The 14313-nt window shown below is 35.6% G+C and overlaps 1 long non-coding RNA gene across 2 annotated transcripts in view; it reads left to right on the top strand.

The window, feature by feature from the left end:
* Positions 1–14313, top strand: part of LOC105374069 (uncharacterized) — a 46400-nt gene that overhangs the window by 10527 nt on the left and 21560 nt on the right. For both annotated transcript variants that reach the window (XR_924399.4, XR_924398.4), the window contains exon 2: positions 9322–9493. This is a non-coding gene — a long non-coding RNA (uncharacterized LOC105374069). The remainder of the gene's footprint in view (positions 1–9321; positions 9494–14313) is intronic.

The following is a 14313-nucleotide window of genomic DNA, read 5'->3' as shown; positions in this document are numbered from 1 at the left end:
ATATAGACCAATGGAACAGAACAGAGCCCTCAGAAATAATGCCGCATATCTACAACTACCTGATCTTTGACAAACCTGACAAAAACAAGAAATGGGGAAAGGATTCCGTATTTAATAAATGGTGCTGGAAAAACTGGCTAGCCATATGTAGAAAGCTGAAACTGGATCCCTTCCTTACACCTTATACAAAAATTAATTCAAGATGGGTTAAAGACTTAGGTGTTAGACCTAAAACCATAAAAACCCTAGAAGAAAACCTAGGCAATACCATTCAGGACATAGGCATGGGCAAGGACTTCATGTCTAAAACACCAAAAGCAATGGCAACAAAAGCCAAAACTGACAAATGGGATCTAATTAAACTAAAGAGCTTCTACACAGCAAAAGAAACCATTGTCAGAGTGAACAGGCAACCTATAGAATGGGAGACAATTTTTGCAACCTACTCATCTGACAAAGGGCTAATATCCAGAATCTACAATGAACTCAAACAAATTTACAAGAAAAAAACAAACAACCCCATCAAAAATTGGGCAAAGGATATGAACAGACACTTCTCAAAAGAAGACATTTATGCCGCCAAAAGACACATGAAAAAATACTCATCATCACTGGCCATCAGAGAAATGCAAATCGAAACCACAATGAGATACCATCTCACACCAGTTAGAATGGTGATCATTAAAAAGTCAGGAAACAACAGGTGCTGGAGAGGATGTGGAGAGATAGGAACACTTTTACGCTGTTGGTGGAACTGTAAACTAGTTCAACCATTGTGGAAGTTGGTGTGGCGATTCCTCAGGGATCTAGAACTAGAAATACCATTTGACCCAGCCATCCCATTACTGGGTATACCCAAAGGAGTACAAATCATGCTGCTGTAAAGACACATGCACACGTATGTTTATTGCGGCACTACTCACAATAGCAAAGACTTGGAACCAACCCAAAAGTCCAACAATGATAGATTGGATTAAGAAAATATGGCACATATACACCATGGAATACTATGCAGCCATAAAAAATGATGAGTTCATGTCCTTTGTAGGGACATGGACGAAGCTGGAAACCATCATTCTGAGCAAACTATCTCAAGGACAAAAAACCAAACACCACATGTTCTCACTCATAGGTGGGAACTGAACAATGAGAACACATGGACACAGGAAGGGGAACATCACACTCTGGGGACTGTTGTGGGGTGCGGGGAGGGGGAAGGGATAGCATTAGGTAATATACCTAATGCTAAATGACGAGTTAATGGGTGCAGCACACCAACATGGCACATGTATACATATGTAACAAACCTGCACGTTGTGCACATGTACCCTAAAACTTAAAGTATAATAATAATTAAAAAAAAAGAATAAAGTGCCAACTTGTTAAAAAAAAAAAAAGGAAAAGGTAATTAAAATGGTATCCATGTAGGTACTGGCCAACAGAGCTGAACTGTAGCCCACAGTAGACAAAAAACACACAAATTCTCAAAAGTGTCCTTCTACCAATTAGAGATTTCTGGAGATCACATTTTTATTAATATATTTCTATTTACATCTGTGTACATTTATATCTGATTATAAAAGTAAGGTGCATGTATTAGAGAAACTTTAGAAAATCTAGACATCTATTTCTAGTCCTTTTTAGGACCTTTTTAAATAAATTGGAAGTGTCTAATATATACTATTTTGATTTCTTTTTTTAACTAACATTTTGTTGTAAGCATTCCCCATTTCATTAAATATTCTTCTTCAGACACATCATTTTTGAATGCCAATATTATGTTTAATCATGTAATTATTCCACAATTTATTTAATCATTTCCATATTCTTGAATATTTTATTTTTTTCTAACTTTATACTATTATAAATAATAATGAGGATAATACCTTCATACTAAATCTTTGGTAAAGTTTCAGTATTTTAGGGGATATTACTATGTCAAAATAATATGTCTTCATTTGTAATTCTAAATTTTATTATTAAGAGGTTGTGCAAATTTATACCCTCATTAAGAGGTTAGGTCTCTGTGGAGAGCTCGTGTTACAAGGGACTTTTGTAAAGTGAAATCCCATACCACCTACATTGATGTTTTCATTTAGATGTTGACAAAATTCAGAGAGATTTTAAAATGATAAGAATTCCTAAGCATAATCAACTAAACAGAACAGAAAAACGTGGCAATGTAAAACATGTGACTGCATGTGATTTCAGTTTGGAGGGAGGAACTATAAAAGTTTTCATAGAACTTTAAGGCTAGAGAGAAGCTTAGTAATCTCTAAGTTTTACTTCTAAATTTTAAAAGTGATGACACAAACTTTCATCCAATTTTATCAAATAAGAATTGTAGTTTTTTGTGTTATTGTTATTTGAGGGGAAAATGAGAAAATAAGAACAAGGACAGCTGAAAGGGCAGAGAAAGAAATATAGATATATCTACAGAAGGAGAATTTCATCTTAAAATAATACTAGAGACCTTTAAAAACCAGTTTTGGTTTTTGCAATGATAGACAAAATAAACAGAAATATGAACCCTTGAAATTTTTATTCACACTGAAGTTGTGAGCAAGATTCAGGCCATAGACCATAGATTCTTTGATCCTGATCTAGATGAAAAAAACTACAAAGGGATGTAAGCTTTTCTTGGGTTTGGAATATGGAGACAAGAGGAAACAATTTCTTTTAGACCTAGCCTCTCTTGTTTCCTGAAACTTTAATTCATCATGACTCATGAAGATTGCACCAGTTTAAGTAGGGATATATATTTATTTTCGTGATGGTAATAACAAATTTAATAATGCCATTACTGAATTAATTTTTCTTAATGGCTAACAAAGGGTTATAATGTTATAATTTTGTAAATGGCCATACTAATTATTAGCTCTGCTAAAACTGGCACACTGGAGTTTCAGACAATAAGCCAGGATACCAGCATGACTTTGCTTTACCATAAGCAGAAGTTCAAACACACGGTCATGAGGGTAAGAAAAAGGATGAGTGACTTCGTGCCTGTCTGATTGCAGACTCTAAAACAAGAAAACCTTTTAAATGGGTCCTCTCTGGCTATGAAGGATAAACTTTCTGTTCTAATCAGCTCCTTGGCTGGCTCGGGCTGACAAAACATTATTGTTCTCTTAACCTTTGCCAAGCTGAGGAACTTTACAAGCATTTTTTCAGTAACAGCCAGAGTGATTTATGGGTTTTTCTCCCTCTAGCTCTCCGTGGTTAGAAAAACAAATTTTATTTCTCAGTCTCATTCCTTCCTCCCCATTATTCCCAGTTCTCTACTGTCTTTAGCCATAATCCTTCTTTATTTAATGCAAATATTACTTTATTTTGCATAGTTTTTAAGTATGTCTGTGTCTAATGTTCTTTAATTATGGAGACCAAATATCTTGAATTTTCTGGAACAGTTTCTATTTAAATATTGTGTACCTCTAAATATACTAAGACTTTAAATTAAAAAAAAAAAATCTGTATTATTGTTTTCCTAAACCATGAAAAAACATCCAGTTTCTCAACAAATACCACTGTTTTCCATAAGGCCGTTTTTAAGTTTGAGCGGCAAAACCTTGAGGGGAGACAGATACATGATAGTTTGTTTTTAAGAGCAAAATCTCTGGTTTCAGGTAGATTTGAGGCTGCCACATTTTTGGTGTGTGATGTTGGGCAAGTTACTTAACTTCTCTGTGCTTCAATTTTCTTATCGACCAAAGGAATATAAAATTACCAACCTCATGAGATTGTTGTAAAGATTAAGTGAGAGAATTCATGCTAGCACTCAACACTGCCTGGCACATAGGACGACTTCCATAAATGTTTGCTACTATTATTTTTCAGCACCAGAAGTCTCATATGAATATTAGTGATTATAAAAGAATTGAAAGAAAAAAGTGTTAATTTTACTATGCAAAGTAAAAGAACTTAACATGAACATTATAAAATACTGTTTGTTATGATTTGGACCTTGGGTAGTATGTACCTGGATATTTGTAGGTTGCTAATTACCTAGTCATCTAGAAAGGAAATCTCATTTAGAAAGGAAATCTAAGAAACTATAAGCTGCGTAGATTCAGTTGGGGAGACACAGAGTGATAAATCTTGGAAAAGTAGGTAATTAACTCAGTCATGTTATCTGTTAAAGGAACACTGTGGCCTTAAGTTGTATCTTTACAAGAACTTGCTAGCAAAATGAGACAAATGTATCTAATAGATCAATGACTGTTGAATATGTTTAAAGATTTTCAACATGGAAACATTATTCTTCCAGAAATGGAAGGAAAATATATAAGCTTAGTCTCTGTCTATTTAAACTCCAGAACTGAGGAAAGCTGTTTGCTTGCTTGTTCTTTATTGTTTGTTTCTTCATTAACAATTTTTGGAGATTTAAATAACCATTGGCATTGTAAAATCTTTCCTAGTAATCAGCATGGAGTACTCAGAGACTTGCCAAGAAATTTGGGGGGAAAAAATGGAAAGAATAAACAATTATTAAGCAAGCTGAGTTCTTCAAACAAGTATGAGAATAATAATGTGCCATCATTTCAACAGCAGATGATGAAAGTGACAATGCAAATATTGTATTAACTAACATTTGTCTTGGCTGAATTTTTAATTTCTCTTTATGTAATTGTATAGTTTTTAAAAAGTATTATATATATAATTAAATGTGATTTAAATTTTATACCACAGTAAGATGTTATGTAAATTAGTTTACAAATAAGAAAAAAATAAGCTTTTTGTAAGAATATGTGCCCTAATTTATAAACATAAAAATACAGTTACCATATTTATAATTCCTCAACTCAGAGAGATTTCCACAGTCCAAGAAAGGAAGAAAGTTGAAAGAATTAAGGTTAGTAGCTACCAAAACATGTGTTTCATGGAGTGTGGGAAGCAAACAAGATGATGAGGAAGGAATCTTATTCCCTTTATGCGTATCAGGCTTCCTGAAGGCCTTAGCCTTTGATAAGACAGGAATAGAAAAGAGGAAAAATACCAGGGAATAGAAAGAAGGGTCAGTTTTATGGTTTGTAAAAGGGCTTACAAAAATAGATTTTTGTCTCTTTTGTCTATGGTTATATCCCCATCACATTATATTAACAATAGTGACTAACATGTGGTAGGTATTTTGTAAATATTTGCTGAATGAATGAACACTAGTATGTAATATTCATGCTTCATGCTAGGATTTCAGGCCTGAGTTTGAAGATAATTAAGCCACAAGTTAGATAAAATACTTCACCTATTCAACAAATATGTATTGTGTGCGTATTTTGCACTAGGTACAATGCTAGATGTTATAGGGGACAAAAATCATAAAGAAAAAAGAAATGAAAAAGAGAGTAATACTAACTTGAAGGACTAATAACAATTGAGTATAGGGGAATAACAGACATATAAACAACTAATAATAAACCACTGTAATAAGATTATTGATGTGAATTGTAAAAACAGAGTCTTGTGATTGTATTGAAGGAATAACCAATTATTCCTCAGTAAAGAAGAGGTGAATGAATTGAGATGGATTTTTAGCTCTTTTGGAATCTTATTCTGTACTCAGCTTCGTTAACATGACTCTATGCTGATTTTCTTCTGACTTCTTTGAGGTCCCTTTCATCTTCTTCACTGGGTCATCTTCCTTTTCCCAACACTTCAGGATCCTTAAATCCTAAGGATTTAGGAGCAAATGAAATATAAGCAAGAATTGGTAATTAACTCAAATTACTATTTCAAGAAGTTTGGTAGTAAAGAAAAAAGGGAAACAATAAAGAGGCAAAAAGAGAGGGACTGGAGGGGATATGAGTGAATTGGAGAGATGTTATAATATTTTCAAGCAGAGTGGTAGAACTAGAAAACAAACTACTAAAGATCCAAATGTAAACTAAGATAACCAGTGAAACAAGGTCATTACCTGCTACAACTATTTCATAATCTTTCTACTTTTCTCAATCCTCCAATTTCTCCTTTCCCACTGCAACTCCAGCTGATGACTTTGCCATGAGTAGAGAAAATGGAAGCCACTCAATGTGAATGTCCTCATCATCCTATCATCAAATCTTCTAGACAACACTAACATCAGCACTCATCCTTGCCTTCTCTAATTACCCATCCCCACCCCACCCCTTTGACAATTGACAGATTTCTCCTTCTGTCCCAAACCATAAGCTCTGGATCTACCCCTCCAGGTTTCTCATGAACCTCACCCCATTTAGTAGCTCCTTCTCTCTCCCACATCTTCAGCCATTTCCTTTTTGATCCTTCCCTCAGCATTTAAACATGATATAAAATCATCTATCTTAAAACAAAACAAATTATCTTGACTCCCATATTTCCTTTCAGCTACCTGTATCTCTCTACTCCCCCTTTATAGACAAATAAATATCTTAAAGTAGTTTAAACTTCCTCATTTTCCCTATATAACCCCTACTAATCTGGTCCATTCTCACCACTACAATGCAAGTGCATTTGCTAAGGTTACCAGTGTTCAACAGGTTTAAATTCAATGTACACTTCAACTTCCTTTCTATTTGATTTATCAAAGGCACTCAACACAGTTGACTCTCTCTCCTTTTCAAATACTCACTTCTCTTGGCCTCTATGGCTCACTCTCCTAGTTGTCCTAATTTTCTGGCCAGTCCTTTCTGGACCCTCCCTCTCTCCACAGAAGGAATTGGACTGCCTCAAGTCTTTCTTCTAGATTTTTTTTCTTCACACTCTACATTCTAATTTCTATAACCTATGATCTGTCTGGTCCCATGGCTTTAAATACCATGTATATGGTAATCACCTACAAATTGATAACTGGAGCCCAGATCTTTTTTCTGAGCTCCAGAACTATAGTCACCTTTCTACTTGATAGCTCCATTGGAATGTCTTCTAGAAATCTCAAAAAAACATGGCTGAACTAAACTACTCCTGTTCCCCATTTCAGTGAGTGGTACTTCAATCAACTAGATTTCTCATACCAGAAACCCAGAAATTACTCTTGATCCTTTTGTCTCCCTCACTTGGTGACAGCCAATCTATGACTAACTCCTGTGTTCTGTCAATTCTACATCCTATACCTCTTTTAAGATATTGTTGGGCTTTGGAGAAAAAAAGCACATTTACTCTCTGCATCTCACAGATTAGGCCACTAAAAAAAGAATATTTGTAGATTGGAATTTTGAAAGGAGGTTGATACATTATATAATATTTAGAATTAAATGATTGTCTTGGAAATGTTATCTTCCTACCCTGCTAACAGCCCCTACCTCCCACTTTATTCCTGCCTTCTCCCATTTAATCACACTCTCCTACTTCTATCAAACATCATGTACATCTCTCTTTGTGATATGGTTTGGCTGTGTCCCCACCCAAATTTCATCTTGAATTGTAATTCCCACAATTTTCATGTGTTGTGGGAGGGACCCAGTGGGAGGTGATTGAATTATGGGGGTGAGTCTTTCTTGCACTGTTCTCATGATAGTGAATGAGTCTCATGAGGTCTGAGAGTTTTAAAAATGGGAGTTTCCCTGCACAAGCTCTTTCTTAGCCTGCCGCCATCCATGTAAGACGTGACTTGCTCCTCCTTGCCTTCTGCCGTGATTGTGAGGCCTCCTCAGGCATGTGGAACTGTAAGTCCAATTAAACCTGTCTCTTTTGTGAATTGCCCAGTCTTGGGTATGTTTTTATCAGCAGTGTGAAAACAGACTAATACACTTTGTTCATCAATATGACAATTAAGAATCCCTAGAGACTTCTCCCCTTCTCTATGTACAAAATTTTGATAGTTTACCCTGATTCTTCAAGCTATGGTTAAATTTTAGGGAAAAAAATCCATGAGAAAAAGTCCTACACAATTATGGAAGCATTAGATATTCTTTCATCCTGCAATAGGAAAGATGAACAAAAGATTTTCTTTCTTTTGCCACATCAGATAGCATGCTTTACTGAGTGGGAAGAATTAGGAGATTCCTACCTAGCAGTGTTATAATAAGGCTTTATTTATGTTTATTTAAAATAATTAACAATTTTCCTCTGGATATTTTTTTAGTTATTTAAGCTTATTTTTTTAAACCCTGGATTAAAATCAAAATTAACTGCTTTAGAGTTTGCATGATGTTTTGATTTTCAGATAAAAATAAACAGAAGCTCAGTATTCTTTTCACTTTGGCATTTAGATTTTTTTCTAATATCATAAAAGAAGCAAGCTTGCCTCCTGGGTGTAAGAAGAGCTTCTAGCTGTAAGAGTCAATCAATCGGGAAGGGCATTTGTGGGTAGGAGTTGTGAAAAATTGCCAACTTGACCTTGAAAAAAAGAAAAATAATTGAGACTAGTGGCAATGAGCATTTATTTCCCATGTGCTGCAGTCTCTCTCACATTTTTAATTTTCTTTCAATTTCTGTCCCCTACCACCTATTCAACACACATTTATGTGCACTATTAACATCATAATGTATATTAACGAGCCCTCACAGCTGGTTAAGAAGCTTCTTCTAGCAGGCTAATAACTTTTCTTTGACTCAATGATGCCGTGCATAATGTAGTCTAATAAAACTATGTCATGTGCATTGAAAAGCAGTCAGAATAAAATAATAGTTTACTCACCCAAAGAGGCAGCAACTAAGAATACAGCTATACTAGCCAATCATCCCTATTTGTATAGCTCAGTAGAATTTGTATCCTTGTATACATTTCCTTGTTTCCATATATGTGCACTGTGAAGGCTAGACACAAGATGATAGAATCTCAAGGTTGGAAAAGATAAAAGGCTACCTACTCCAATAAACTGTTTAATGCTTAGATTATTTCAGCAACATTTGCTCAGTGTGATCCTCCAACACATACATGAAACACTACCCTCACCCCCATCTTCCCTCATCTATCCTCAGCAACAGAGAGAAGGACTAAAATATCTCTAGAGAAGAGGTTTTCGACCTTGGCTGCACAATGGGACACCTGTGGGAGCGTTTTAAAATCACCATGCTGAAGGTACAGCCCAGATCAACCAAATTAGAATCTGAGGGTGGGACCCAAAAATCAGAATTTTTTAACTCTCTCAAGTGACTTCAACTGCAGCCAAGATTGAGAGCCACTGCTCTAGAGGCAACACATCCTGGAAATGATAAGTCGTTTTCATAGAAAGTCAAAATTTGTTACTCTGCAATATTCGTCTTAAAAGAAGTTTTTTTGGGAATTTGTAGCTGAAACTCAGGGAAATAACCTCTTCTCCTTGCCAAGTCAAAAATTAAATAATAGATTATTGTTTATAAAGCATAGGTGAAAGACTCAGAACTATATATGACAGACATCACATATAATTCCAATTTGTTTTTCAGCCCTTGGGAGACAGATCTCTTTCCTTAAACTTGTACATATCTGAGCAGAAAAGAAGCCTGTCTCTTAAAAGGATTGGACAGAAACATTTTCGCTAGAGTCTCGTTCTTTGGACGTGATCCAATCACTACTTCTCTACCTATGAGACTGTTGATCATCTCTTTCTCAGATGAGGTATGATAACATCCAACTAAACTTTTTGTTTTGGGACACTGAATAAAGGGTTTCCTTTATACGCTAGTAAAGATATTGCAAAGTAACAATCATGGACATATAGCAATTTATTAAGACTGTGAAACATCTCAAGATATTATTCCTTTCGTTTTTTATTACACACACACACAGAAAGAGAGAGAGAGAGAGAGATGGTCATAGATATACATATATAGTCTTTGGAACTAAATGGCTTAAGCCTTGCAGTATTATGTTCTTTTAGTGGCTGATTATCAAGTCTATCCATTCCCAGAAGAAAGCATTGTCATATTCCTAATGGCTTAACTGTACTAGGATAGATAGTTCAAATTGTGGTCATCATCCCTCCACATGAAGGACTGTAGAAATATTTGACAACAGATGTAACTTCTCCTTTGATTTTTTTCTTCTCTATCCTCAATTTCTTCAACTATTCCTCATAAACTTGGCTTTACTTTCTCTCAATATCTTGGTGATTTTTCCTCTTAACACCCTCCAGATGCCTGTAACCCTCTTAAATTATAGTTCCCAGAAATGTAGAGATTATCTTCTTAGTCTTAGATACCATAAAATAGAAAGTCTCTTACTTGAAAGAATGGGATAGGTAATTGATCAATAACCAGAAAAAAAGTACTGATATGAAGAACTGTTAAATAAGTAATAATCAGTTGGTGCAAACTGTTACACAACTGCTGGAAGTTTATAGTATCAGGCCTGAACAATTTAAAAAATGAAGTTGCCATTAACTGGTCAGGGAAGAATTCAAAGGGAGAAAGTTTTTTTTGTTTTGTTTTGTTTTTTATACTTTAAGTTCTGGGATATGTGCAGAATGTGCAGGTTTGTTACATAGGTTATACACATGCCATGGTAGTTTACTACACTCATCAACCTGTCATCTACATTATGTATTTGTCCTAATGCTATCCCTCCCCTAGCCCCCCACACCCCGACAGGCCCCGGTGTGTGATGTTCCCCTCCCTGTGTCCATGTGTTCCCATTGTTCAACTTGGGGGAGAAAGTTTTTAAGGGCAGATCAGGACTTAGTTTTAGACCTGTTAATATTTTGGCCCTGTTCATTGGCAGTTGGATATTTAAGTCAGGCATTCAGGGGAGAGACCTGAGCCATAAAATGTCTTTATAAATTTATAGCCATGAACCACCAGTGTTTAGATTGCATTTAAAGAGCCAGACACAGTGGCTCACACACCTGTAGTCCTGCATTCCAGCTCTGGGCAACAGAGTGAGACCCCATCTCTAAACAAACAAACAAACAAACAAACAAAAATCATGCTACTGAATCAGACCACCAAGGGAATGAGTATGGATAGAAAAGAGTAGAGATGTAATCACTAAAACCTAAGGTATTCCAATGTAAAGAACTGAGTAATAACCAAGAAGAGAGAATAAAAAGGAACAGTAAATGAGGTAGTTGAAAAACGAATAGAGTGTGTTGTCCATGCCAAGTGAAAAGGAGGGAGTGCTCAAGTCTGTCAAATGCTGCTGAAAGTCTAATAAGATGAGGACATGAGGTCATGGATGATATTGACAGGAGTGGTTGTGGTGGAGTGGCAAGGGTAAAAGCTTATTTAGAATGCATTCCAGGAAGAAGGGGAAGAGAGAAATTGGAGATGAAGCGTATAAATACCTTTTTCTTAGGGTTTTGTTGTAAAGGGAAATGGCATGTGAGCTGGCAAGGAAGTGAGTTCAAGAGAAGGGTAATTTATTTATTTATTTATTTATTTATTTATTTATTTATTTTATGATAAGATAATAAAAACAGAATGTTTACTATTGGGAAATCAATGATGCATGAAAGTAGGAAGAATAGTTGGAGGACATCCCTGAGTGGGAGAGAAGGGAAAAGATCTAGAAAAGTTGAAGGCCTGGACTTATTTACAAGTACATAGAACTTATCCATAATAACAGAGGAGAAAGCAAAGTATATGGTCACAAGTATGTTAAGAAAGGTAGAAAAGGTGGTATCACTTTTGCAAGTTCTTAAATATTGCTTCTATTTTATCAGGCAAAGTGGAAGCAAGGTCATAAGCTAAAAGTGAAGCTTATGAGGGAAGAAATGTTGAAAATTTAAAAAGAAAGGAGAAGAATGAAATAATTATCTGAATCTAACAGAGTAGGCCTATGTGTAATTGGTGGGCAGCATTAAGAGTCCACTTAAGGTTAATGATCATGAATACAAAATGAAACAAGTCAACATTGTTCTGTGTTTTTCTCTAGTCATGTTGACTGAACAAGTACAGATAGGCAATGGCATAAAATTGGATTTAGTCTTGATTGAAGATGAGTGAAAGCAATATAGTGAGATAGTGGCGAGTGGAAAGAAGGTAAGGGTATAAGTACAGGAGTTAGTATACTGATAGATCATAGAATTCAAACTGAATAACAAAGGGACAAAAGACATGAGTGATTAGATAGTAGAATACTTTATGGTCTTGGTGGGTTCAAAGGATTGCTGGAATTCAGGTACTGAAAGAAATGAACTAAAAAGGTTAGAGGAGGTGGAAGTCAGAATAGAAAACTTGAAATTGAGATTATGCAGAGATTTCAGTTATTCACAATCACAAAATTTAAGATACGACCTGTAGAGTGGCTGAAGGAAGGTGGAAGACAAGGACATTGGAAGAAAGGAAGGAGATAAAGAAACCAAAAAGTCAGGCAATTGGAAGGATTATCCATCTGTATGAAGAAATTACCAAAAATAAAGACAGCTGTATTATTGGAGAAAGAGACAGAAATGAGGAGGAGTGATCTTCTTGGGGTCAGTACATCACTACAAAAGGGAGGGCTCATGGGTGGAATAGACATCTGATGACATAGGAATCAAATCTTGGAAAGGAGATGGGGTAGAGGTTGTTTTGTGTATTTCTTCTTCATGTACCATATTTGTTTCATCTCCAGCTTGTCATTAATATGTTTGTTTAACACATTCTACACTTTTATTTGTGACTTCAGTTAAGTTACAAAATAAAACAAGTTTGGGATAGGGCTCTGAGGTATGCCACTAGAAACCTATCTCTGGATTGATACTGACCCATTAATAAACATTCCATGAATTATTGCTATGGTTCAATAATTATTATCTTGTCCATGAGGATGTCCAGTGTTGTGAGAGATGTCATGTCTTGCTGAAATATTGATATTTCACAACAAGCACAATGTCTTTCAGACTATTTCATGCAGCTTTGGTAATCCACATATTCTCAGATTCTCAAGTCCCTTATGAGAATTATGCTAATGTTATCATTTCATTTTAATAAGAATCATTTTTAAGTTAATACAAATGTATTCAATATAATTTGAATGACCCTTTTATAACTGAGGATTGGCACACTACTTTTGTTCCTGGGTCTGCATTTATCCTTGGTACCAAAAAGTACTACTTTAATTGTTTTTAATTAAGAAAAAAAGGATGCCTTAATACTGAAATGATGCATGCACACCAAAAGCAGGCTAAATGACATCACTGTGTCCTCTATAAATGATGATTTTGCAGTGTTTCAAATAAAGAAAAAACGTGGGTGACCTGAATCATCACACGGCATGTGATAGAATTGGAAGACTAAACCTATGGAAGTCAATACCATGTTCACATTACTAAACAGCAATTTTATTTTAATTCACGGGATGAATTTTAATAATACTAGTTGTGTAGCTTTTTTAGCATTCATATTTGATGATCTTGCTTTACAGTTTTATTTATATTTAGCTATCATTAAAATAAAAATAATTTAAACAGATTCTATCTTCTTTCTTCTTCTTCTTTTTTTTTTTTTTTTTTTTTTTTTTTTTGAGACGGAGTCTCGCTCTGTTGCCCAGGCTGGAGGGCAGTGGCACGATCACGATCTCGGCTCACTGCAAGCTCCACTTCCCGGGTTCATGCCATTCTCCTGCCTCAGCCTCCCGAGTAGCTGGGACTACAGGCGCCCGCCACCACGCCCGGCTAATTTTTTTTGTATTTTTGGTAGCGGCAGGGTTTCACCATGTTAGCCAGGATGGTCTCGATCTCCCGACCTCGCGATCCGCCCGCCTCGGCCTCCCAAAGTGCTGGAATTACAGGCATGAGCCACTGTGCTTGGCCCTCTTCTTTCTTCTTAATAGGGTTTACATATTACTTAAGTTAGGAGAGAAATTCAGCCTTTTCCATTCCTCTTATATTTCTGGTCTAACAACTCTGATTGTTAAAAATGAGAGTAAAATATCTAACATGTCTTATCCTTGAGGACTCCATGCTAGCTAGGAACCAGAAATAACTCCCCTTTTTTCTGCATCCTTTAAAGTCGCTCTTATATTAGTCAGAATAACAGCTCCCCAAGCTATCAACCCGGCCAAATCTCAATAGTTTAACATGGCAAAAGTTCATAACTACCTTATACTACAAGCCTAATGTAGGGCAGCAGAGAAGCTCTTTTCATCATAGTCCCTCAGATACCCATGCTAATAGAGATTTCATTTTGACACAAACTTCCCTGATCGCCAGAACAGTGGCAAACTGCACACTGGTTTTCAAAGTTTTCACCTAGAAATGCTACATATCACTCCAAATCACCTTTCATTGGCCAAAGAAAATCACATGAGCATACTTCACTTCAAAAGGGACTAGGAATAGGAGTCCCACCACATCAATGGTAGAAGAATTAGATTTGGTAGATAATCTCTCTAGAAACTTATAGGATAAATATCACATTTACCAGTTTAGAATGAATATTTGTGGAATTAGTGTTCTTTTCTGTTGTTTGCAAACAACAGAAATGAACTCTAGCTAACTTAGCAATAAAAAAGAATTC

The sequence above is a fragment of the Homo sapiens genome, chromosome 3, assembly GCF_000001405.40.
Source record: "Homo sapiens chromosome 3, GRCh38.p14 Primary Assembly".
In the NCBI taxonomy this organism is placed as follows: Eukaryota; Metazoa; Chordata; class Mammalia; order Primates; family Hominidae; genus Homo; species Homo sapiens.
This window is presented reverse-complemented; position numbering and strand designations above follow the sequence as displayed.